Genomic DNA, 25,666 nt, shown 5'->3' with positions numbered 1-25,666 from the left:
AAAACAGATGTTTTGAATTCTCTGTCTGAAAGGTCTGATATCTCTATTTCTTCAGGATTTGTCCCGGGTGCCTTATTTAGTTGATTTGGTAAGATCATGTTTTCCTCAATCATCCTGATACTTGCAGACACCCCTCTGTGTCTGGGCATTGAAGAGTTAGGTATTTATTGTAGTCTTTGCAGTCTGGGCTTGTTTGTACCCATCCTTCTTGGAAAGGCCTTCCAGATATTCTAAAGGACTTAGGTGTTGTGATCTAAGCTGTATCTGCTTTAGGGGGGACCTCAAGCCCAGCAGGACTGTGTTTCTTGCAGACTCTTAAGAGGTACCACCTTGACGGTCTTGGACAAAATCCAAGAGTTCTCTGGATTACTAGAAAAAGACTCTTGTTTTCTTCCTGTACTTTCTCCCAAACAAATAGAATCTCTTTCTCTCTCTGCTCTGAGCCACTTAGAGATGGGGATGGACTGACACAAGTACTCCTATGGCCACCAGCTCTAGGACTTCGCTGGGTCAAACCTGAAGCCAGCATAGCACTGGGTTTCACCCAAGGCCCACTGTAACCACACCCTGGCTGTCACCTCTGTTCGCTCAGTGTCCTAGGGCTCTACAATCAGCAGGTAGCAAAGCCAGGCAGACCTATGTCCTTCCCTTCAGGGCAGCAAGCTCCCCCAGGATCCTGGAGGGGCCAGAGGTGCTATCCTGGAGCCAGAGACTACAGTCAAAAACCTTAGATGTCCACCTGGTGTTCTATTGCATTGTGGCTGAGCTGGCAACCAAACCACAAGACACAGTCCTTCCTACTCTTCCCTCCCCTTTCCAAAGGCAGAGGAGCCTCACCTCGTGTCCACTGATACCTCAGGCCCACAGGGAGTACTGCCCAACTACCACCTGGCAGTGACTCACTTTTCAAGGGAGTGGGCTCCTGTCTGGTGGCCCAGGGCAGGTCCAGAAATGCCATCCAAGAGCCAAGTCCTGGAATCAGAGATCCTAAGAGCACTGATTATTTACTATTTTTTGAAACAGGGTCTCGCTCTATCACCCAGGCTGAATGTAGTACTGCAATCACAGAACACTGCAGCCTCAATATCCCAGGCTCAAGCAACACCCTCACCTCAGCCTCCTGACTATAGGTACATCCCACCACACCCAGCTGATTTTTTTTTTTAATTTTTGGTAAAGGTGGGGTCTCATTATGTTGCCCAGGTTGGTCTCAAATGCCTGGATTCAAGTGACCCTCTTGCCTCGGCTTCCCAAAGTGCTGGGGTTACAGGTGTGAGCCACCAAAACCAGTCAATTTTTTTTCCCAAGGGGTAGGGAAAGGAGTGGGGAAGAACTCTCAGAACAGATGAATGTCATTTAACTTGGAGATGAGTAAAAACTGTGATGAGAGAAGTTTCTGTTTCTATACCTAGAATGAATGAACATGTAAATACAGCAACATTTTCTAAACTTCCCTTTATTCCCTTTATTTATAAACGGAAGGCACACAAATGCGAAGGTAGCTACAGGATTCTAAGGTAGTTGTTTGAACATCAGCAGAATGTGTACGTGCTAAGAGGATGTAATTCATGGAAAGTGAGCAGTGCCACAAAGGAATTAAGTTGCCAGGCTCAGGCAAACATCACTGATGGTACTCCCCATTGCCTTCTGTCCAAAGTAAAGGGTGTATATGTATATGAATGTTTGCTGCCCACATAGACTTGAAATGTTTGTCACACTAAACATTTGGCATTCAAGGATCTGACATTTGAGGTTTCAAGGTTCACTGCATATAACAAATGATTTTGCTAAGTATGAATCTGAATTACCTGTGTTGCAGGACAGCTTTGCAGGCATGAGTGAGTTGGCTGGTCAGTGTGCCTAAAGCTGACCAGCTCAGTGTGGTTTTACTATTTTATTTAACACAGGATCTCAATTAATCCTCAGAAAAATAAGTAGGGCTATTATTATCCCCATTTTATAGCTAAGACAGATAGATGCTACACTGCGGTATCTTGAAGATTTCAGAACACATTTCAGTGGTCTTGCTTGAAATACTGTGTTGCTATTTCAATGCTTATGCCTACCCTCCCCAATTAGACTTTAAGGATTTTGAGAGCAAGTAGTATATATTTACTTCTCCCTAAAGTGCTTAATGTAAGGCAGTAAACAAAGCAGATATTCAAGAAAATCTTTTGAACAAATACAACTTATTTCCATACAGATTTCGCCTTCTCAAGTTTCATGGGCCCAGGTTAGGTGATAAGTGTTCTCAAGAAGAAAGCAGTTTAAATTGTAAGCCTGAGGAACTAGCCTCTATTTAGTCTTAATTTAATTCTGGATCTAGAAGATGAAAGTTAATGGAAAGACTTTCAAAATACAGATACAACCAGGAAACAGCTCCAGAAAATGCTTGTCCATATGAAGCAAGGATCACAAGTGTAAGGTCTTTTATAGTAAGTTCCAATAATGTCTACATCAAATTCTTGTATATTCAAATATTTACATATTTGACAATTTATGTGAAATCATTACCATTTCTATACATAATATGAATCCATATTATTCAAACTGACATTCAGTAAAGCAACAAAAATGGAATACTACCACAACCAACAGAGAATAGGCTAACTATTAATACTTTAGGCTCTAAAAAAAATTAAGTGAAAATCCATTCTTGACACTGTTCATTTACATAACAATAGTGGACAGAATTTCTGGATTTGGAGCCATCTATGTAATTCCAATGTTAACATTTCCATTTTGATGAAGTCAGACTAAGTGCATCTGCAGGAAACCATCACTACCGTGGAGAGAAACTGCACTGATAATGTTGAAACACGTTCTGCTGTTGCACATTAATGTCACAGAACTAGACTGGAGCCTGATTTACAAACCACTGTGTTGTGTTAGGCTATGCTGCATCACATTGGTTAAAACCAGCACAAAAGCAAAGTCTTGCATTTAAGCAAATTCAGAAGGTGAAATGGGGGCTGCCGAGAATACCACACCTCAGCTTACTCACTATTCCACTTCTATACCCCAAGGACTTAGCTCTTTCATTCTTCACCAATACTTCCACTGAAGCCAACAAATGGGTAATGACCCAGAGGAAAGATGTTGGTGATAAAATCTATGGCAGGAATTTGGTTCCTAAAGCCCTTTAACCATTTTTGTACTTTTGACTAAGGTTCAAACTTTACAGACACATTAATGGGGGCCAGTCATCTTAAAGTTTGGAAAATAAATGAAGCAAGGTTTGGGGAGAAATTTTACCAGAATTCACGTCTATCCCTATGGAAATTTACAATTGTAAAATACAAGCAATGTAAACACAAGGTACATTTTGTCCGTCGGTGGGTGGGGAAGGGGGGGGCGGTCCTGAAAAGCCAAGCAAGGTTTTTTAGAAGTCTTAAGTGTGGAAGAAAAGGTGATGTATACATACTCATCCCAAGCTTAATTGCTATGACTATGTAGTTCCATTTTTTCCCTAAGTATAAGTCAATTCAAGTGCTCATTATCTTAAGTCAAATATTTTGCTTCCAGGATTGCTAATTAGAGTGACGGCAGAAATACAGCATTATTTTTTAAAAATCTCATTTACATAAAATGGTTCAGAATCTACCTAAATGAGAATTTTTTTTTTTTTTTTTTTTTGAGACCGAGTCTTGTTCTGTCACTAAGGCTGAAGTGCAGTGGCACAATCTCAGCTCACTGTAACCTCCACCTCCCAGGTTCAAGCGATTCTCCTGCCTCAGCCTCCCGAGGAGCTGGGGTTACAGGCGCCCGCCACCACGCCCAGCTAATCTTTGTATTTTTAGTAGAGATGGGGTTTCCCCATGTTGGCCTGGCTGGTCTCGAACTCCTGACCTCAGGTGATCTGCCCACCTTGGTCTCCCAAAGTGCTGGCATTACAGGCGTGAGCCATCATGCCCAGCCTAAATGAGCAATTTTTAAAATCATATTTTTGTACTGAAAATTTACAGATCTGAATGGACACCACTAAAGAATAAAGACAAATATTTTTTAAAATTTTATGACTAATTGTCTGTCCATAGTCATATTATAAATTCTTTCCAAGAAAAAAAAATCCAAATTTACCTTTGTTATTGATCTCATTGATCTGGTCCAGTCCCTCTATTTGATTTGTGTACACGATTTTTGGATTAAATATAGTCAAACAAATCATAGAGCATAACACCCTATATGTCACACACACAGCATATTGGAGTTTTTCTCCAAAGGTATATGCATAAATTATCCCACCAGGAATATTTACCAGGGTCCTGCTGCTTTTCCTCATAATTTCGGCCTAGGTCCGTATGCAACTAGCATACAAAAGTACTGACAAGTTTCCTAGAGTAGATCATGTGTCCTTGAAAACAACTAAGGGTAGAGTTCTACCATATTTCTTAGCTAAAAAGTAGCTGGCAACTCTATTTTCATTCCATCCATCATTTTAAATCTGTGCAACAATTATTCCATACCAGCTTCTAGTTTCAAGATACTACAGCCAAATGTTCTGCTTGAGTAAAAAACAAATCTAGATGACCCTAGCATTGCTTACCAATATATTTTATTACACTGTACCTAATAAGAAACAACTTACATGTATACATGTTGAAAGTTTAGTAAGTGCCTCACTAATTTATTTTGATCCTTACAAACCTACTGTAAAGCAGGTTATCACCATCCCCACCAAGAACAAGTGCAAACTGAGACTCCGAGACATTTATGTCACTTGTCCAAGGTTACACAATCAACAAAAAGAGTCTTGGAATTCAATGAAAAAAAAAAAATTGATGCCAAATCCAGAGCATGAGACTAAGGATATAAGAAATGGTAAAATGTTTCAACTAGAATTGGCAAGTTATAGAATAGTTCTTCTAGAAAAAGATAATTTGCGTTATTCCTGAAAAGAGAGGAAGAAAGGGGGGGAACTTGCTTAACACATGGACAGAAAGACTAAAAGACTGAATCGTTTCAAACACAGTAACTCTGACCACACCAGAGCTGAAGAGCAGCAAAGAAACAAGTGACCAGGAAGTCAGGAAAGCCATGGGTCATTTCAGTTTTCATAAATGAGTACATTTTTTTTCACAATATCCCTAGAAACTCAGCGAGATGTGAAGACTGTCACAGGCTTAGACCTCCAAGTAAGGAAACTGGACAATTATCAGTCCACTCCCAAAAGGCTTTGCAATCCCGAAGGACTGTTCATATCCACAATTACTTCCTTCTTCCCACGCTTTCCCTCTCTTCATATCTGGCTTCCACACTTAGCACTCTTAATGAGACCATCCATACTAAAGCAGATGTAAGTGCCTCAATTACTTCAGATGCAAGTGCCTCAATAAAATTCATGAACCTCCTTAGAAATATATGCAAAACTATGAGCACTTGCACATTTTTCTGAAGGGATCCACAGCTTTCATCAGTTTTCAAAGTTCCGTGACCCCAAAAAGATAAACACTGCTCTCCAAGATCACAAATAACAGTATTCATTAAATCCAATAATCATTTCTCATTCATTTTAATCTCCCTACCTCACTTGATGCCATTTGTTACCCAAAGTTGAAATCCTAAAATATCCCCTTTCTATAATCTATGTCACTAGTGTCATCTAACTCTGACTGATGGTTGTGACCTCTGTGACTTCATTTATCTCCTTTTCTGCTTCCTCCTCCAAGGATCTGAGCATTCCTTTGTGTTCTATTTACTTCCATAAGCCACTGGTTCTCAAAGTGTCATCCACAGACCACTGCAGCACCTGGGAACTTTTAAGACACACAAATGGTTCCAGCCCCACCTCATGCCTCCTAAATCAGAAACTCTGTAGAGTGTGGCCCAGCAATGTGAGTTTTAACAGCCCCTCTAGGTATATGCTCAAGTTTTAGAAATATTGCCCTGAGCACAGTAAGCTTCAACTCTATTATTTTGTTTTTCAAACATTTAATGAATACTAGCTATGTGCAAGGACCTCATCTTAACGTGGCAATTTTTCAAAATTGATTTTAGATGTTTCACAGAGTTCCAAATTCTGAGTACCCTACACAGCATATGCACTTCCCAAATTATCTCAAGCTGCGTCCAAAACCCAGTTCATCAACAACCCTCCACCCCGACTCTAAACCACCCTCCCCACACCCACAAGCACAGGCAACCAATTTTCTTATTCTGTTCAGTGACTGAAAACCTTATAGTCACATTTATTTCTTCCTCTTTCCTTACATATGATTCCCATCAAGAACCCATGGATTCTTTTATCCCAATGTAATTTAGATTTCACCCTTGCTCCTATTCCCATACTACTGCGCTGATCTGGGACTTTATACTGGTGATTTGCCCTGAGGTAAAGTGGCAGAGCCAGGAAGAGGCTATTTGCCTCCAGAGCTCAAGCTCTCACTCATTAAGCTACACTGATTCCTTGGAGTACACCAAAGCACTGGCATCATTTAATTCCCTATTTCAGAGCCTAAGTGGTTTATAATAGTTACTGGGTCATAGCAGAACTTACTACTTTGGCACTTGCAGCCAAAAAATTGTACCCACCGTTCTCTTCCTATGATCCAACACTGAGCCTTTCTATCCTGGGGTGCTCCATCACTTTAAAAGCTCAAATATAATACTACTGACTTGTACAGCAGAAATGAATGGCACATATATCACTAAAGGCCAATGTAAACTGACAGGACAGCGGAAAGTCCCTTAAAAAGCAACCAAACTTTGGTTCCCTTGAGATTTTCTATTTTTCAGAACTAAACAACATATCTTTTAGCTTTCCTACTAACTTTAATAAAGATGATCTGGAGGACTTCCACTTCTAGCTAAGATGGAGAGAGACTAAGTTTATCTTCCTGTCTTAAACAACCAATAGACTGCCAAAATGTATCAAACGGTTTTCAATACACTAGATAAGGACAGTGATTCCCTTAGAGACACACACACACACACACACACAAAAATTGGTTGAAGAGGCAGAGCTGAGAGTCCACAGAGAACAAAGCAGCTAGAATTTGCAGGACAGAGTACTGGAAGAGACAGAACACAGGAGACCTACAGAGGGGCTCCCTTGGAGTATTTAGCTGACTACTGGGTAAGGGCATCTGTGTGAGGAAAGAGCCTGAGGCTAAGACCCATTTGAAAGGGTTAGAGGTAACTATACCTGGTGCTCACACAAGGCCAGGGAATGTGCCTGTTCCCACAAGGCAAGGTTGAAACTCTCAATTCATGGGACACTGTTGAGTACAGGAGACATCTTGCCTCAAAAGCATGGAATAATTAGTCCTAGACTGTGAATTGTAGGGCTGCCTAACAAATAATAAATTCAAGACCACAAAAGATAAAACTGTTTCCAAGTAACTTAACTGTATCCCAGAATAAAGCATGGGAAGTTTTTAAGGAATACAAAAATATCCAATGCAACGAGACAAAATACAGTAATAAAAATATGACCAAAAATGAAGGGGGAAAATCAATCAAAACTAACCCAGAACTGGCACAGATAATTGGTAGATACAAACATTAAAACATACGGAATAACTATATTCTGTGTGCAAAAAGCTAGACGGGAGACAAGGACAATATAAAAGACCCAACTGGCCTTCTAGAGATGGAAACTGTAGCATGTGAGATTGAAAATACACTGGATGGGATTAGCAGAAGATTAGAAATTGCAGATGATTAGTGAACATGAAGCTATAACAACTATCCAAAATGAAACACAGAGAAACAAGAAAAAAATAAGAGCATCAGTTAGCTGTGGGATAACTATCAGTTATCTCCTTCAAGTGATGGGGAGAGGGAAGGGAGGTGTTTAAAAAATAGAAAAAAGGTTTTCTATTTAATGAAATGTATAAGCCCACAGGTCCAAAAAATCTCAATGAACTCCAAGCATAGGAAAGAGAAAATTACACCAGGCACATCATAATCATATTACTCAAAACCAGCCATAAAGAGAAAATTTTAAAAGCACCCAGAGAAAAAAAGGATATGTTAAATATGGAGGAACAAAAATAAAGCCAACAAATTTCTCATCACAAACAATTCAAGTGACAAAACAGTGGAGCAGTATCTTTAAAATACTAAAGAAGAAAAGCCAATTTATAATTCTATACCCAGTGAAAATATCTTCAAAACAAAGATGAAATCCTTTTTCAAAGTTAGAAAAAAAGAAAGAATTTATCACCAATAGTCCCCTACCAAAAGAAATGTTAAAAGAAATTCTTCAGACAAAAAGGAAATGATACCAGAGAGAAATCTAGATCTATATTGTCAAGAGCAGCAGAAACGGTTATTAAATAGACAAGTACATATGATATCTTCTTAATTAAATCTCTTTAAAAGATAATTGACTATAGTCCAGGGGTGATGACTCACGACTGTAATCCCAGGACATTGTGGGGTCAAGGAAGGAGGACAAGTTGAGCCCAGCAGTTCAAGACCAGCCTGGGAAATATACTGAGACCCTGTCTCTACAAAAAATAAAAAAAAATAGCCAGGTGTGGTGCCACATGCCTGAGTCCCAGTTATTCGAAGGCTAAGATGAGATGATTGCTTCAGCCTAGGAGGTCAAGGCTGCAGTGAGCCATGATCACACCACTGCACTCCAGCCTCAGCAAGAGAGCAAGACCTTGTCTCAAGAAAGGCCAAAAAAAAAAAAAAAAAAAGATAATTATGCAAAAGTAAAACGTATGACAACAGTAGCATAAAGATCAGGAAGGAAGAAATGAAAGTATATTATTATAAAGTTTATACCACATATAAAGTAATAGAATATCACTTGACAAATAGTGAGAAGTTAAATATATATGATACACCCTAGCCTAATCATTAATATAAGTCAACAAAGGAGATACATTAGAATCATTAAAAATGTTCAACTAATTGAAAAGACAGCAGGGAAAGAAGAAAAAAAGAAGAGATGGGACAAATAGAAAACTAAAACCAAAATGAGAGATTTAAACTTCATTATACCAATAACCACATTTAAATAAAATCATCTTAATGCCTTAACTAAAAGGTAAAGACTTGTAGTACACGTCAAAGCAACACTCAACTACCTACTTCCTACAAGAAAAGCATTTTAAATATAAAAACACCACAGGTTAAAAGAATTGAAAAAAAACTACGGAAAAAATAAATGGGAGAAGAGCCAAGATGGGCAACTAGACATAGCCAGGAAGAATATTTCCCACCGAGACTAGACCATCAAGAAGACCAGCACACTCCAAGCAGATCTGCAGAAGAAAGTCACCGAGAGTGGAAAGAGGGAGGACACAGACTCTGGGCTAGAGGAGAAGGAAGCTGGGAACCCTGCATGGGGCTGCTGAGCACCAGGACTTGTTCCTGACCCACAGTCGTTCCTGGGGAAGGGGTGAGTTAAATTGGTGAGAAGTAGCCCACTCTCACTATGGACCTAGAATCCTAGCTGCAGGAGACCCCAGGACCCCCACAGACATTTGAGCTGACAGGAAGAGCTGTATGGAGAAGTGGCAGAAATGGGACCTCAGCAAGAGAGAATATCCAAATAAACACAATCATAAATGACAAGAGGATATTACGACTGACCTCACAGAAATTTAAAAAAAAATTATCAGAGACTATTATGAACACTTCTATGCACATTTCTTCTAGAAAATCTAGAAGAAATGGATAAATTACTATAAACATAAAACCTCCCAAGATTGAACCAGGAAGAAATTGAAATCCTAAGCAGACCAATATCAAGTTCCGAAATTGAATCTGTAATAAAAAGCCTACCAATCCAGCAAAAGCCCTGAACCAGAAGACTCACAGCTGAATTCTACCAGACAAATAAGGGATAGCTGGTACCAATCATACTGAAACTATTGCAAAAAACTGAGGAAGAGGGACTCTTCCCTAACAGATTCTATGAGGTCAGCATCATTCTGATACCAAAACCTGGCCGAGACACACACAAAAATGAAAGTTCACACCAATATCCCTGATGAACACAGATGCAAAAATCCTCAATGAGATACTAGCAAACCAAATCCAGCTGCATATCATAAAGCTAATCCACTATGATCAAGCAGGCTTTATTCCTGGGATGCAAGGTTGTTTCAACATACAAAAATCAGTAAGTGTGATTTATCACATTAACAGAACTAAAAAGAAAAACCACGTGAACATCTCAATAAATGCATCTTAACAGTCTCAAAAGGCTTTTGATAAAAGTCAACATCGCTTCGTGTTAAAAACCTTCAACAAACTAAGCACTGAAGGAACATACCTCAAAATAATAGCCATCTATGACAAACCCACAGCAAACATCATACTAAACAGGCAAAAACTAGAAGTATTTCCCTTGAGAATCAGAATTAAGACAAGGATGCCCACTCTCAGCACTCTTATTCAACACAGTACTGGAGATCCTAGCCAGACCAATCAGGCAAGAGAAAAAAAATAAAAGGCATCCAAATATGAAGAGAGAAGTCAAACTATCGCTTTCTGCAAATGATATATGGTTTTTTTAATCTTTATTTTTATTTTTTTTAGACAGAGTCTCCCTGTCGCCCAGGCTGGAGTGCAGTGGCACAATCTCGGCTCACTGCAACCTCAGCCTCCTGGGTTCAACTGATCCCACTGCCTCAGCCTCCTGTGTAGCAGGGATTACAGGCACCCACCACTATGCCTGGCTAAATTTTTTTTGTATTTTTAGTAGAGACGGGGTTTCACCATGTTAGCCAGGATGGCCTCAATCTCCTGACCTCGTGATTCGCCTGTCTCGGCCTCCCAAAGTGTTGGGATTTCAGGCGTGAGCAACTGCACCCAGCCATGATATGATTTTATACCTTGAAAATACAATCTCTATCCAAAAGCTCCTAGATCTGATAAACAACTTCGGCAACGTTCCAGGATACAAAATCAACAGACAAATATCAGCAGCATTTCTATACATCAACAATGTCCAAGCTGAGAGCCAAATCAAGACTGCAATCCCATTTCTATAGTAGTCACAAAAAAATAAAAATAAAACACCTAGGAATACAGCTAACCAGGGAGGTGAAAGATCTCTACAACAAGAATTATAAAACACTGCTGAAAAAAATCAGAGATGACACGAACAAGTGGAAAACATTCCATGCTCACGGATAGGAAGAATCAATATTGTTAAAATGGCCATACGGCCCGAGGCAATTTACACATTTCATGCTATTCCCATCAAACTACAAAGACATTTTTCATAGAATTAGAAGAAAACAATACTAAAATTCATATGGAACCAAAAAAGAGCCAGAATAACCAAAGCAATCCTAAGCAAAAAGAACAAAGTTGGAGGCATCACATTACCCACCTTGAGACTATAGTAACCAGAACAGCATAGTACTGGTAAAAAACAGACCAACGGAACAGGTTAGAGAACCCAAAATAAAGCCATACAACTATAACCATCAACAAAGTCAACAGGTAGGGCACGGTGGCTCACCCTTGTAATCCTAGCACTTTGGGAGGCCGAGGTGGGTGGATCACCTGAGGTCAGGAGTTTGAGACCAGCCTGGCCAGGATGGTGAAACCCCATCTCCACAAAAATACAAAAAAATTAGCCAGGCACGGTGGCAGGCGCCTGTAATCCCAGCTACGTGGGAGGCTGAGGCAGGAGAATCTCTTGAACCTAGGGGGCAGAGGTTGCAGTGAGCCAAGTTTGCGCTGCTGCACTCCAGGCTGGGCGACAGAGCGAGACTCTGACTCAGAAAAAAAAAAAAAACAAGTCAACAAAAACATTAATGGAAAAAGGACTCCCAATTTAACAAACAGTACTGGAATAATTGGCTAGAAGATTGAAACTGGACTCCTTCCTTTTACCACATACGAAAATCAACTCAAGATGGATTAAAGACTTAAATGTAAAACCTAAAACTATGAAAACCCAGAAGAAAACCTAGATTTCATGCAGACTGTAAAAGCAATTGCAACAAAAACTAACAAGTGGAACCTAAGTATAGAGCTTCTGCACGTCAAAAGAAATTATCAACAGACTGCACATCAAAAGAAATTATCAACAGACAACCTACAGAATGGGAGAAAATATTTGCCAACTATGCACCCAACAAAGGTCCAACATCCACAATCCACAGTTCCTGTCTCATGTTCCCCTACCTTTTCTGATTGTGGGTCTTAATACCCTCCCATGAGAGGGTCCCACCCTATACCCTGTGGGAAGAAATGATAATGTCATGAAGCTTCCATAAAAACCCAAGAAGAGAGGGTTCAGTAAGCTTCCAGATAGCTGAACATGTATAGGGCAAGAGGAAGGTGAAGAAGAACTCTTCCATGTACAGGGAGGGTCGTGCACCCCATCTCCACAGGGTCAGAAGCTCCAGTGCTTGGGACCTTTCCAGACCTCACCCTATGTACCTCTTTATCTGGCTATTTATCTGTATCCTTTAAAATATCCTTCTTAGTAAACGTGTTTCTCTGAGTTCTGTGAACAGCCCCAACAAATTAATCGAACCCAAAGAGGGGGTTGTGGGAATCTCAACTTGATGTGTGTGTCAGAAGTTCCGGAAACCTGGGCTTGCAACTGGTGGGGAAAGGAGGGAGCAGTCTTGGGGAAGGAGCCCTCAACCTGTGGGATCTGGCACTACACCTCCAGGTAGATAGTGTCAGAATTGAACTGGAGGATACCTGGCTGGTGTCCACTGCTTGGTGGTGGGGAGAGACCCCCCCACACACATTTGGTCACAGGAGTTTTCTTTGCATAAATGACTGCTGTGGTGTGAGAGTAGAGGAAAAACACAGAGTTTTCCCCACACAATAAGAACTGAAATTAACAACAACCACATAACCCCATTAAAAAATGGGCAAAGGACATGAACAGACACTTCTCAAAAGACAAATATGTGGCCAACAAACATGAAAAAATGCTCAAAGTCAATAATCATTAGAGAAATGCAAATCAAAGCAACAATGAGATATCATCTCACACCAGTCAGAACATTATTAAAAAGTCAAAAAACAGCAGATGCTGGTGAGGGTGCAGAGAAAAGAGAATGCTTATACACTGCTGGTGGGAAAGTAAATTAGTACCGCCACTGAAGAAAGCAGTTTGGAGATTTCTCAAAGAACTACAATTTGACCCAGCAATCTATTACTGAGTTTGTATACCTAAAGGAATATAAATACCCAAAGGAGTGTAAATCATTCTATTATAAAGACACATGCACATATATGTTCATTGCAGCACTATTCATAATAGCAAAGACATGGAATCAACCTAAATGCCCAAGAATGATAGGCTGGATAAAGAAAATGTGGTACAGACAACACCACAGAATACTATGCAGCCATAAAAAAGAACAAGATCATGTCCTCTGCAGGAACATGGATGGAGCTGGAAGTCATCCTTAGCAAACACATACAGGAACAGAAAACGAAATACCACATGTTCTCACTTATAAGTGGAAGCTAAACATTAAGTACACATGGATACAAGGCAAATATAGATACGCAGGCCTACTTAGGGGTGGAGGATGGAAGGAGGGTGAGGATCAAAAAACTATTTATTGGGTACTATGCTTATCACCTGGGTGACTAATCTGTACGCCAAACCCCCATGACACATAATTTACCCATGTAACAAATGTGCCCATGTGCCCCCTAAGTCTAAAAACAAAAGTTGGAAAGAAAACAAAAAGAAAAAAACTATGCCAGGTGAACATTAACCAAAAGAAAACTAGCATGGCTAAATTAATCTCAAGGTAAATTTCACAACAAATAACATTATCTGCAATTAAAAAGATCATTTCATAATGATGAAGGGGTCAATTTATAAAGATGTAAAAATGCTAAATATTTATGTACCTAGTAAGACAGCTTCAAAACACATGAAGCTAAATATGATACAAATATAAGAAAAAACTGCTTTAATCCATGATTGTATTCAGATATTTCACTATCCCTCTCTGTTACTGACAGAACAAGTAAGCAAAAAATCAACAGACATGGAAACTTGAACACTGTCAACCAACCTGACCTAACTGACACTTGAAGAACACACTACTCAACAACAGCAGAATGCACTTTCTTTTCAAATATAAACAAAACATTTTCCAAGACGTATTTTGTCATAAAACAAGTCTCAATAAATAAATGAGGGTCATACAAAATGTTTCTTGAGCACAATGGAATAAAAATAGAAGTAACAGAAAGATCTCTGGAAAATCCTCCAGGAAGGGAAAAAAAGAAAGGAAATACTAAGCTAAATGCTCCAATGTCATAATATTTATATACCCATAAAAAAGTAAATACTGAAGATTTAACCAAAACTTCACTACAAATATGTTGGGGGGAATAGGAGAGGGTGGTATAAGAAAGCAAAGGCTTTATATATCACAACAAGGTAAAAAAAAAATGTGTACAACTGATAAATCAAAAAGTCAGCAATATATGTATATTAATCATAAATATGGAGAAGTATAAATTTAGATGAAACAGCAGACAGAATTCAGAGTCATTGTTTCCTCTTAATCACTGCATGTGGGGAAACTTGGAGTAGAAAGGGCAGGGCATTTTGTTACATGTAATATTTTGACTTTTCAAACTACATACATGTAGTACTTTAATAAAATACCTTTAAAGAGATTTCATCTATATCATCTAATTTTATTCCCAGGGAAGGAGGTATAGTAACCCCCAATTTGACAAATGAGGAAACTAATATTTCAGGTAAAGTAGCTTGTCCAAAATCTAAGCCACCACAACTTTTTAATTTAATCATATAAATAATATAAATTATGCCTGTTATGGCATCATCTACACAGATAAATATGAAAAGGAAAAAAATTAAATTGTTTTTAAATCTCAGTTTTATTTCTGGAAATATTTTTATTTTCTGCTCTCTACTATAGATGACTAGTTTACTGTCACAGAACAAGATGAAATATTCACACTTAACCTCCTGTTAACAGATTTTTAAAAGAAATTTGAACAAAGAAAGATTTTGGCAAGTGTAAAGAACAAAACTGTACTCAAAAGTAAACACTATTTTAATCATTATCTTTAACTGGGGTTAGGTGCACATAACATAAAATTTACCATCTTAACCGTTTTTAATCGTACAGTTCCAGTGGCATTAAGTACATTCACGTTGTTGTGCAACTACTGCCACTAACATCCATCTCCAGAGCTTTAACATCCATCTCCAGAGCTTTTTTTCATCTTCCCAAATTGACTTTCTTTATCCATTAAACAACTCTCCAGTTCCCCCACCCTCTAGCCCCTGGAAACCACCATTCTATTTGTCTCTATGAATATGACTACTGTAGGTACGTCACGTAAGCAGAATAAATAGTATTTGTTCTTTTTGTGACTGGCTTATTTCACTTAGCATAATGTTGTCAAGGTTCATTCACGCTATAGCAAAAACACTTGTTAAAAGCCAGTTTCCAAAACAGCATAAACATCAATTATTTGATAATGCTGTGAGAAATTAAGGCACTGGTGAATTCAAGGGAAATTAGTAAAAAAATTAATGCTTCCCTCTCCCCCAACCCTGATCAGGACACCAAAAAGGGGGAAAAAAATAGGTCACAATTTTAAACTATTGAGAAAGGGTATCCTGGTAACTTTACAGTGTGCATGAAGGAATGGGGGGAAAAATTGTAATTTTGTGTTTTGAAAAACCCAATTACTTTTCTAAGGTTGTTGCTCTTTTGAGCTGTGCGACAAAGGCCTATAGGGAAGGGCTTCTCTAAATGTAAACTAGGTCTGTGTTTTCCTTCTTAAGGGTGGAGCCATGCAAAAGACAAAAGCGCTAATAATGTCAGATGTTCACAAAACCTTGAGTCATGGTAAGTATCTTATAAATCAGAAGTGAAATAGCCTCCATTCAGTCACATAGAGATCAGGTAGGAAATACAAGACACTTGACCTTTACAGTGTACTTTGAAAAGGTTCCCTTGGTTGCAGTTTTTAAAAAACAGACTTGTATGCTTTTACATTCCCCATTATTCTCTCACTCTGAACCTCCACAATGAATACCCTGTATTTATGTCCATCTAAAATTCAGACAGAAGTCCTAGGCAGCCTTTCAATGGAGCCACTAAACAAACCACACCAACCCTTTAAGACACCAAAAACACCACTCTGATGTTAGGGTGGGGTTGTTTCTCTGAATTTTAATTTATAATGCAACTAGAATCACTGACCAAATTTTAACAAGAAGTGGTGACCAGCAGTGCCTCAGGTATCCAGGTGTCTGATAAGCACTCAAGCAAGAGCTGTGCTTTTCATAAACTCAGAGTATTGACACCAAAAAAGGAAAAAGTCTGCTAAAACAAAGTCAGGTATTTTATATGACAACTATATAAAACAGTGTTTTAGACAAGACATTCATTTTTGCTTTATAAAGATTAAACCATATGGTGTGTCCAAAAATAAATTACCACTGATAACTAAAATAAGACTATGTCGGCCGGGTGCCATGGCTCACACCTATAATCCTAACACTTTGGGAGGCCAAGGCAGGTGGATCACTGGAGTTCAGGAGTTCGAGACTAGACTAGCCAACATGGCAAAACCTCATCTCTACTAAAAATACAAAAATTAGCTGGGCATGGTGGTGCAGGGAGGCTGAAGCAGGAGAACTGTTTGAACCGGAGAGGCAGAGGTTGCAGTGAGCCAAGACTGCACCACTGCAATCCACCCTGGGAGACAGAGCGAGACTCTGTCTTGAAAAAAAGACTATGTCAATGATCTTCCAATGCAAAATTTCCCATTGTCCAAAATTATCTGCCTCCACGTGGTATTTTTCCAGAATACCATATAGTTTCCCCCAAGCCCTGAGACAGGAATAATACAGGGTGGTTGAAGGGGAAAAGAAAATTCCAGGCAGCAGTTTCACATGACTAGCAAAAAGGAAACTGTTGAAATACATACATAAGCTAGGAGCCAAGAAGACCCTGAAAAGCAGAGTGTGGGTTAAGCTAGCTAAGACGAAGTGGACCCAACATGGCACTGGATTTGACCTAGGTTTCACCTAGGACCTCATTATATGCTCATTAACATACTAAATCACACCCACCAATGCCAAGACAGTTCCGGGAGCACCCATACTGGTGTAAAAATGGGTGGCACTAAAGTTGAGAAATTTTCACCTTTTTCCAGAAATCTTCATGAATACTCCACCCCTTGATTAAAGAAACCCATACAGATAGAAGCCAAACCCTGTCTGGAGTATGCTCGCACTCCCCTTTCTTGAGCATGTACTTTTCATTTTGCAATAAATCTTAGTACATTTCACTATTTTCCAACTCATCCTTGAATTCCTACTGAAGACACTGTCAAGAGCCTGACCATTGATCAGAGTTGATGTCCCACTGGCATTTAGGGACCTCCCCCAGCCCACTGGTATCAGCCCAAAAGAAAAAATATTAAATACTTAGTATTGTCATTACTTAAGTTCTCAAATTGCTACCCAAGTTATATGAAGCACCTTTCTCCACGTGATATACGCTGTAGGTCAAAACACAAGACCTCAGTCATCACAAAAGAAAAACCGATTTAGTAGTTTTGCCTTTCCCATTCAATGAAGACAAATTTTGGCCTAAGGGAAGCATACACACAGTTTTTTCTCTTTTCTTTTTTTAGGCTCCTCCTCTTGTAGGGCCATGTAGGGATTTTGAGAAAAGAATTTTGTCTCTGTGATATTTTATAAACCCAGGCTACTTGATAGAGGGACACTATAAAAAAGATCCATTTCCACAGAGTATGTATCTTAGAACATGAAACACTTTATCATGGGTTTTTTAAAAATCTATAATAAAGATTTTCATCAAGTTTGGGGAAATTTCTTTAAGGTACTAATGATGCAGATAGTGTTTTTGGACGTTTTAGTTCTTCTTGTAATTGCTATATGGTATAAAATCTCATATAAAATCCAACTGTCATATTTAAATAAAAATTTTAATTAAAAATTATAATCAACACATCTAAATAACTGTATGCATGTGCATAAACCCACATACACACAAATACACAAAAATTTGACAACTGTATCAACTCTACAGAACAATGAATGTTTACCTGCAAGACTAACAGCACCTGAATTAAGAGATAGTAAACAGAAAAAGGCATACAATCCTAAAGCAGTATCTACAAATTAAAGGGTTGTTGCAACTTTGTTATAGATTTATTTCTAGTCTCATCTTCAAGATTACTAATATAGCATGTAACACTGGAAGGAGAAAGGAAACTGAGGTTGAAGTATGCAAATAAAAGATGAAATAATAAGCCACTTTACCCTCACCACTTCAGTTTACTTTGAAACTCATTAATTCAGTAGACATTTGGACTGAGTACCAGTGTTTTGGTAAGAAAAGGGCTCTAAAATTCTTTCCACTCAAATATTCTATGATCATCATTTACTAATATCACATGATTAATGGGATTCGCACTTCTAGAGTTCCTAAAAGCAAAACCAGTGTTTACAAATACTTATGATGCACACTGAGTAACAGGTATAGGAGAAATGAATAACCCAGCTTTCAGTTGCCATTGGAAGCCTGGGACCTGCATGAAAATAATTTTTGAGAAAGATTTCCTGACATTAATTTGTGCTTCAGGCATGGAAATTAACAGCTACTGGATCCTAAAACATATGAGTTAAGGAAAACACTGTCACTTTATGCAAAGCTGGAAAATACAGTGTTCTCTACAGATATCAAACATTTTTAAACAAAATTCAATCTCCTGGACTGTCAGTTTAGCTACAGGTTAAAACAGTGTTGAGGAGAAGATGGAAGCACATTTAAACTTTAATATCTTTACTCAGAAAACTGAACAATTTAAAGTACTAGCAATATGGAGGTTAATCTTCAAATCTGAAGTACAGGGCATTTAGTAATACTGTTACAATGATCGTCTCTTCAAACCAGCAGTAGGGCTTGCAAGACTTTCCCAGTACAATGTTAGAAATGCCTATGTTTAGTTTCACTTAGTCCAATTAACTGGCCTCCTCTACTACAGACATCATTTTTCTAGAAACCTTTTTTTTCAACATGATACTCCTACATACTTTTTAATTGAACTGTTCTACAGAAATGCATTCCTTTTGTTCTCTCTTGTTTGCATAGGTTAATACATGCTATAATGTTGTCTAAACCTGTCACCAAGTCTTTCTACGTCTAGCTTTCCCTTGGATGTCTTTATTTCAAAGTTTTTGATACAGTCCCACTTTTTCTTCAAAGTAAGTTTTATGTTTTCCTTATTCCAATGATGAATTACAGTTTATCTGCTATATCAGCTAAAAAGAGAACTCTATTTTTAGGGTAGATGCAAATACAATAACAGAAGTAACTGATGAAGTGTCTCTCTATGACGTGAATTAGTAAACTATTAGCCTATGGTCTATTCAGAAACATCTGTGCTATAAATATTTGGTGAAAGTGCAGCTAAACTTCCAAATAGCCTTAAGTCATTGATGGCTCAAAATTCAATTATCTGAAAATAATATTCCCACAAGATTGTAGAAGCTTACATTCACCTTCATAATTTTTAAGTATCTCTGGGGGAAGGAGTGTCACCACTAAATTGAAAACTTGGCTTGATATATTATAAAAATAAAAAGAGGCTGACATATCTATTGGTTTCATATACCCTCACCTTCCTAAACATGAACAAATTCAAAATTCAGCAGCAGCCATTGGTTCAATATTCATAAATTTACAGAATTTTGCTAACATGTCTCAAATGATCATGAAGGAAAAAAGTACATTTTTAATGACAAACTTTTAAATTTATTTAGTTACCTTAAGAAACTTGTAAAACCACATTTTATGGAGGTAAACTTTACCCTTCTTTTCAAAGAAAAAAAAATATATATATATGATCTTTTATAATGGCTCTTCTTTGTGAGTCAAAGGGTTAAAACCATCTCTTTTATTCCCAAATGAGTATCAGCACCATTCAGAGGTGCCATGTTTTATTTAAAACATACTCTTACTCAGTAACCACTTTGTTCTAATTGGCAAGGCAAAGCCAGGTCCCTAAAGCACACAGCCCATTACATTCAGTTTGGATTAAAAAACACAGGATGAAACAAACGGCATCGAAATGTACAAATTAACAGCTCAGGAGTATGGGACAGAGAGGTGGAATTAGATTGTAATATGGAACAAAACCCACAGGGAAGCTGGGGAACAAATCACTAGTGTCTCTATAAACTATACAAGGTTTCCAAATGAGCAAATACACAAAGCAAAGGACAGGCTTTTCCATAACTCAACCAAACTGATAAATATGGATACAACAAAACAGGAGTTTTTTTCCATACTATTATTATGCACACATGTATGAGAGAACGGGAGTACCAACTGGAAGGTTTAACAAATGAAATCTGCAGGTTGCACAGTCTAAATACGAAATTCATCTTTGCTTTCACACTGACAATGTGCAAACAGCCTTGCAATTAAATCACACTTCCAAACATTTTCAAAAAAATTCTTCTGAGAAGCTAAACACAGGAGACTAAATAGAAATGGTGCTTCACTACGCAGCACAGAGAGCAAGGTTAATGAGCTAAAAGTCATATGAACAAGAACAAGAAAGATGTTAAGAAATGAAGATCTCACCACCAAAACAGAAAATGTGTTAGACAAAAACACTCCCCCCACCACATATGCACACCTTTTCCTAAATTAGCTACTCTTGTGAAGCTTTCAGCACTGTTTCTCTGATTATGAGGGGATCTAGAGGCAAACTACAACTGAACTAAAAGAAAAGAGCAGAAGAAAAGAGAATACTCCTACACACAAATGCAAAACAATGTTACTGTTACATCCTCACAGTACAATCCCGACTAATCTATTTAGCTTTGGTTTTCACAGTACAATTCCATCTAAGTCTACTACTTTCATCCTAATAACATCAAACAGTGGAGATTAGATCCAAGTCTAAACTTCCATTGATCAAATCTCAGTTCTTTAAAATTTATTTAATCTTGGGAACATGAGTTAACCCATTTGAGTCAGTTTCCTTATCTGTAAAATGGAGCTATAAAATCACCAACATTGTAAGAATCAAATGTGATAATATTGTATTAAAGGACTTCATAATATAAAAGGGCTGCAGCAATCTTAGTTACAATTGCAATTATTTCATTTCAGGATTTTACTGCCTTTAAAAACAAAAACAAACAAAAACCCATGTAATTGTCTATGCCTTTCCTCTCTTTTTTCACAAAAACTAATTCTTGTTCCACTACTAAAATATCTGTCTTTCAGCATTCTCCATTTAAGATTATGTGTCATTTTTCTTTTTCTTCAAGCCGGAAGTCTTAAGGTATTTTTTCTTCTCTCTCCCCAATATTTAGTTTAAAAGTAAATTAAGAAATGTAAAACAACCTTTGATAATAGTTAAAATTGTCACTCTCTCTTTCTTGCTCCTGCTTTTGCCATGTGATATGCAAGTTCTTGCTTGGCCTTCTGCCATCACTGGGAACTTCCAGAGACCTCCCCAGAAGCAGATGCCAGTACTATGCTTCCTGTACAGCCTGCAGAACTGTGAGCCAATCAAACCTCTTTTCTTTATAAATTAAAAAAAAAATAGTTAAGACTGTTAACATACAGTTAGATCTACTTTACACTGCAAGAACCAGCTAAGCACTGAAGCTTTTAAAGGGTATAAAATTTTATAGCATGAAAGATGATATTTTAGTCATACATTAATGGCCCAAAAATAATGTCCCATCTTTTTACTCATCATCCCTACTGTGGACTAAGAATTAAGTACAAGTGGGTATTATATCCAGGAAAAATGTCAAAAAGCAACCTCATCATAATCTTCTAATTCACACACAAAGGCAACAGCCAGAACAAGAATTACGCTAAGTATCTGAAACTTGGTGGAGCCAAAGCCTCTGAAGCACAAAACAGTCCCGTGCTTTTCTGAGTCTATCTGAAAGTTATCCATATTCCTGACAAGTCTAAAAGGGAGCCCATAAACCTAAGCCTGGTCATTCTGATACAGTAGCCTGTATTAGTCTACTGAGGATATGAAACATAGGGAATATTACCAATTAACTCCCCACACTGCCCGCCTCCCCACCCCGAGACAGAGCCTTGCTCTGTCGCCCAGGCTGGAGTGCAGTGGCACAATCTCAGCTCACTGCAACCTCCACCTCACAGGTTTAAGTGATTCTCCTGCCTCAGTTTCCGGAGTAGCTGGGATTACAGGCGTGCACCACCACTCCCAGCTAATTTTTATATTTTTAGTAGAGATGGGGTTTCACCATGTTGGCCAGGCTGGTCTCAAACTCCTGACCTCGTGATCCGCCCGCCTAAGCCTCCCGAAGTGTTGGGATTACAGGTGTGAGCCACCGTTCCTGGCCTTAACTCTTATACTACTTTTCATGTCACAGAGGGTCGTCTAATTACATGAAAAGAGGCCAACTGTATCCAACCCAAACAGTTCTCTAAACTAGAAGTCTCCAAGCTTTGATAAAGGTGTACCATCAGCATAAAATTTGAGTGCACATCTCTTCCATTTCTGTTTTAAAAGTAGTTACATATTCCCGTAGTGGACTGAATGATGCACCCTGTCCCTGTCCCCACCTCCCAAAATATGTCCACCCAGAATCTGTGAATGTGATAATTTTGGGAAAAAAAGCTTCTGCAGATGTAATTAAGTTAAGGATTTCCAGATGAGATAATCCGGGATAAGACTGAGCCAATGACAACTGTCCTTAGAGGAGACAGAAGAGGGAAAGATAGAGACTCACAGGGGAGAAGGCCATGTGGATGAAGCAGAGACTAGAATGATATGTCTATGAGCAAAGGAATGCCAAGAACTATTGACAAGCCAGAAACAAGCAGCAGCATGGAATGAATTCTCCCTCAAAGGTTCTAGAGGAAACCAACCCTGCCATTACCTTGGTTTTAGACTTCTGGCCTCCAGAACTGTGAGAGAATAAACTTCTGTTGTTTTAAACCACCAAGTGTATGGCAATTTGTTGTGGCAACCCTAGGAAACTAATACAGATACCAATGAGATTATGTATACAGGACAAAAATAAACACAAGTAGGAATTCTAACATTTTCTCTCTATGCCACAATGGATAATCCTGTCTACCACAAAGAGACTACAGCTTTAGACCAACAAGAGGGAAGAAATAAAGCCAAGTGACAGACTAAACTATCTTAAAAGACCTAGTAACTACTAAATTTCTTCCATTTTCCCTATCATACTCTAACACATGGTCACAATTTTCCCACTTGAGGCCTGAAAGAAGCCACCTCTCAGCTATTTCACAGCACTGAGCACTGTTTCCCGTTAGAAATGCAACAATTATTTTTGACATAATTTCCATAACATCATCATCATCATCATCTTTAACACACTGCTTCATGTATCTTGACTAGCATAATAATTAACCACACAATTTAAGAATGCTTATTAGTAAGACATCAAACTGCTATAGACTAAGAGATTAGAAAAGGCTGCCACAGTCCAGCACTGCTAATCCGTTAAGGAACTGTTGCCCGAGTCTTGCTTGCATTTCAGAGTAAGGGAGGCTACACCATAAAGAACAGAGTTTCCTACAGAAACATTCTTTTAACATAGTCAAGCAAGTGCTGAAAAAAAGAGAGAGAGAAAACACAGGATTGCAACTGTGGTATAAAAATGGCCACTGAAAACAAATGTCCCTCTACAGGGGACTAGATAAATAAATTAGGGCACATTATAATGAAGGTGACCAATTAATGTATCAAACAAATTGGTACACTTACAATAGTACCAGTTTGGTACAAAGAGGTACTATTAGTATTTTCACTGGCACAAAATGCATAAACGGAGATTGTTCTAGGTAAATCTAGACATTAATTATAATGGAATATTATAGTTAAAATGAACAAGAGCAACGTGTCAACATGATTAGTTTCTAAAAGCATTATTTAAAAGAATACAGGTTGTAGACTAGTACAAAATACCATTTAAACATTTTAAAAACAGAATCATAACAATATTTATATAAATGCCCATTCATAATAAAAAGTGTAAATACAAGGATAAGAAGGAGAGTAGTTGTCTCTGAGTTGGGAAGATGATGACTAGGGTAAAAGAAAACTGTGACATTTTAGTGCCCTTTTTAGTGTGATAAGAAAAAAGGCAAAACATTAACATTTGTTACTTCTGGGTGGGTTTGTGGATATTCTGAATGTCAGACACCCAACCATCCAACAGATACCTACCAACAGACACATAATGGTTAAGAAGAGCCTGGTAAGTTGAGCTGTCCCCTTTTAACAAACACATGACCAAAATGTGTGTGTGTGTTACACGAGAAATCCCTCTTGGGCGTCTGGCTTAGAAGAAATCAAAGAGTATACAAAAGCAATCAAGTCAAAAAGATTACAAAAACAGAAATACTCTATTCAAACACTTCGTCTTAAGAGCAGCAGTTACTTTTTTTGCCTTTTTTTTTTTTTTTTTTTTGAGACGGAGTCTCGCTCTGTCGCTAGGCTGGAGTACAGCAGCGTGATCTCGGCTCACTGCAACCTCCGACTCCCTGGTTCAAGCGATTCTTCTGCCTCAGCCTCCCAAGTAGCTGGAATTACAGGCATGTGCCACCAGGCCCAGCTAATTTTTGTATTTTTAGTAGAGACGGGGTTTCACCATGTTGGCCAGGTTGGTCTCGATCTCCTGACCTCATGATCCGCCCACCTCAGCCTTCCAAAGTGTTAGGATTACAGGCATGAGCCACTGTGCCTGGCCAACAGTTGCTTTCTTTTGGGAAAAGGTGAATTCAAAAAATCAAGGTATGACAAGCTTACAAATTCCACTATCCTGCAAAATTTTTTGTATTGAAATTGGTAATTTGTTTCTACATTATTTGTGCAGAGTTCCTACATTTCTAAAAGGAAAATATATGAGCTTAAAATTTGTCAGACTCACTCTGTTTCTCTTACTGTAAAGCCTCAAAATTCAGCTGTAACCTACAACTCTTTGCTTTTCAAAAGTGACTAGAATCAGACCACTTTTACTCTGGTATTCTAACAGGAAATGAAAGCAGGAAAGAGATTAGTATGTAACTGCAACCACTAAGTTGCAAGTTCATAAGGAAATATTTTAATTTACTTGGTATGAAATGGGAATTTGTTATCCTCTTCTGGAACTATCATGAAACTCAAGTCACTTTCAAGAAAAATGTTAGCATTTTGGCTTATCTACCATTTCACCCTGCGCCCAGCATTGTTATATCACTCACCTTAGATGTCAACACTTAGATTCCCAATGCTGCAGGCGATAGCTAATTTTATTTTGCTCATTCCAGAAAGAAACAAACCACTTCTAGATTGTATAAATTCACTTCACTTTTTAAACATTTGTAATTTGTGCAATTACATTAATACTTAAATCTGAAAACACAGACAAAATTAAAATTTAAAGCTCCCCAATTACTCTTACTCTGAGACTACCACAATTAAATTTTTCATGTCATCTTCCAGCTTTATCTCATGCAACTATACACTTGTACATCATATGTGAACCACGTGATAGCAAATTTCTTAAAAGTTAGTCTTAAATGAAACAGTATGTTTAAATATACCATGTCTACGGTTTATTAAAAATTAAGTATGCACACATTTAAAAGTCCACCGACCAAGTGGTATTCTGAACACTGTGGAACATATATTAAGTTTGCCTTATGATAAGCATCTGTCA

The 25,666-nt window shown here is 38.2% G+C and overlaps 1 protein-coding gene across 3 annotated transcripts in view, besides 1 other annotated feature; it reads right to left on the bottom strand.

The window, feature by feature from the left end:
• The window catches only part of ZFAND3 (zinc finger AN1-type containing 3), a 334,898-nt gene that overhangs the window by 192,535 nt on the left and 116,697 nt on the right, over positions 1-25,666 (bottom strand). The window lies entirely within an intron of this gene.
• Positions 9,848-9,907: a silencer, noted in NCBI's record as "silent region_17160". NCBI's record gives its function as "represses an Ori minimal core promoter by ATAC-STARR-seq in GM12878 lymphoblastoid cells {active_cell/tissue: GM12878}" and the evidence as "EXISTENCE:reporter gene assay evidence [ECO:0000049][PMID:35858748]".

Source organism: Homo sapiens, chromosome 6 (genome assembly GCF_000001405.40).
Source record: "Homo sapiens chromosome 6, GRCh38.p14 Primary Assembly".
In the NCBI taxonomy this organism is placed as follows: Eukaryota; Metazoa; Chordata; class Mammalia; order Primates; family Hominidae; genus Homo; species Homo sapiens.
This window is presented reverse-complemented; position numbering and strand designations above follow the sequence as displayed.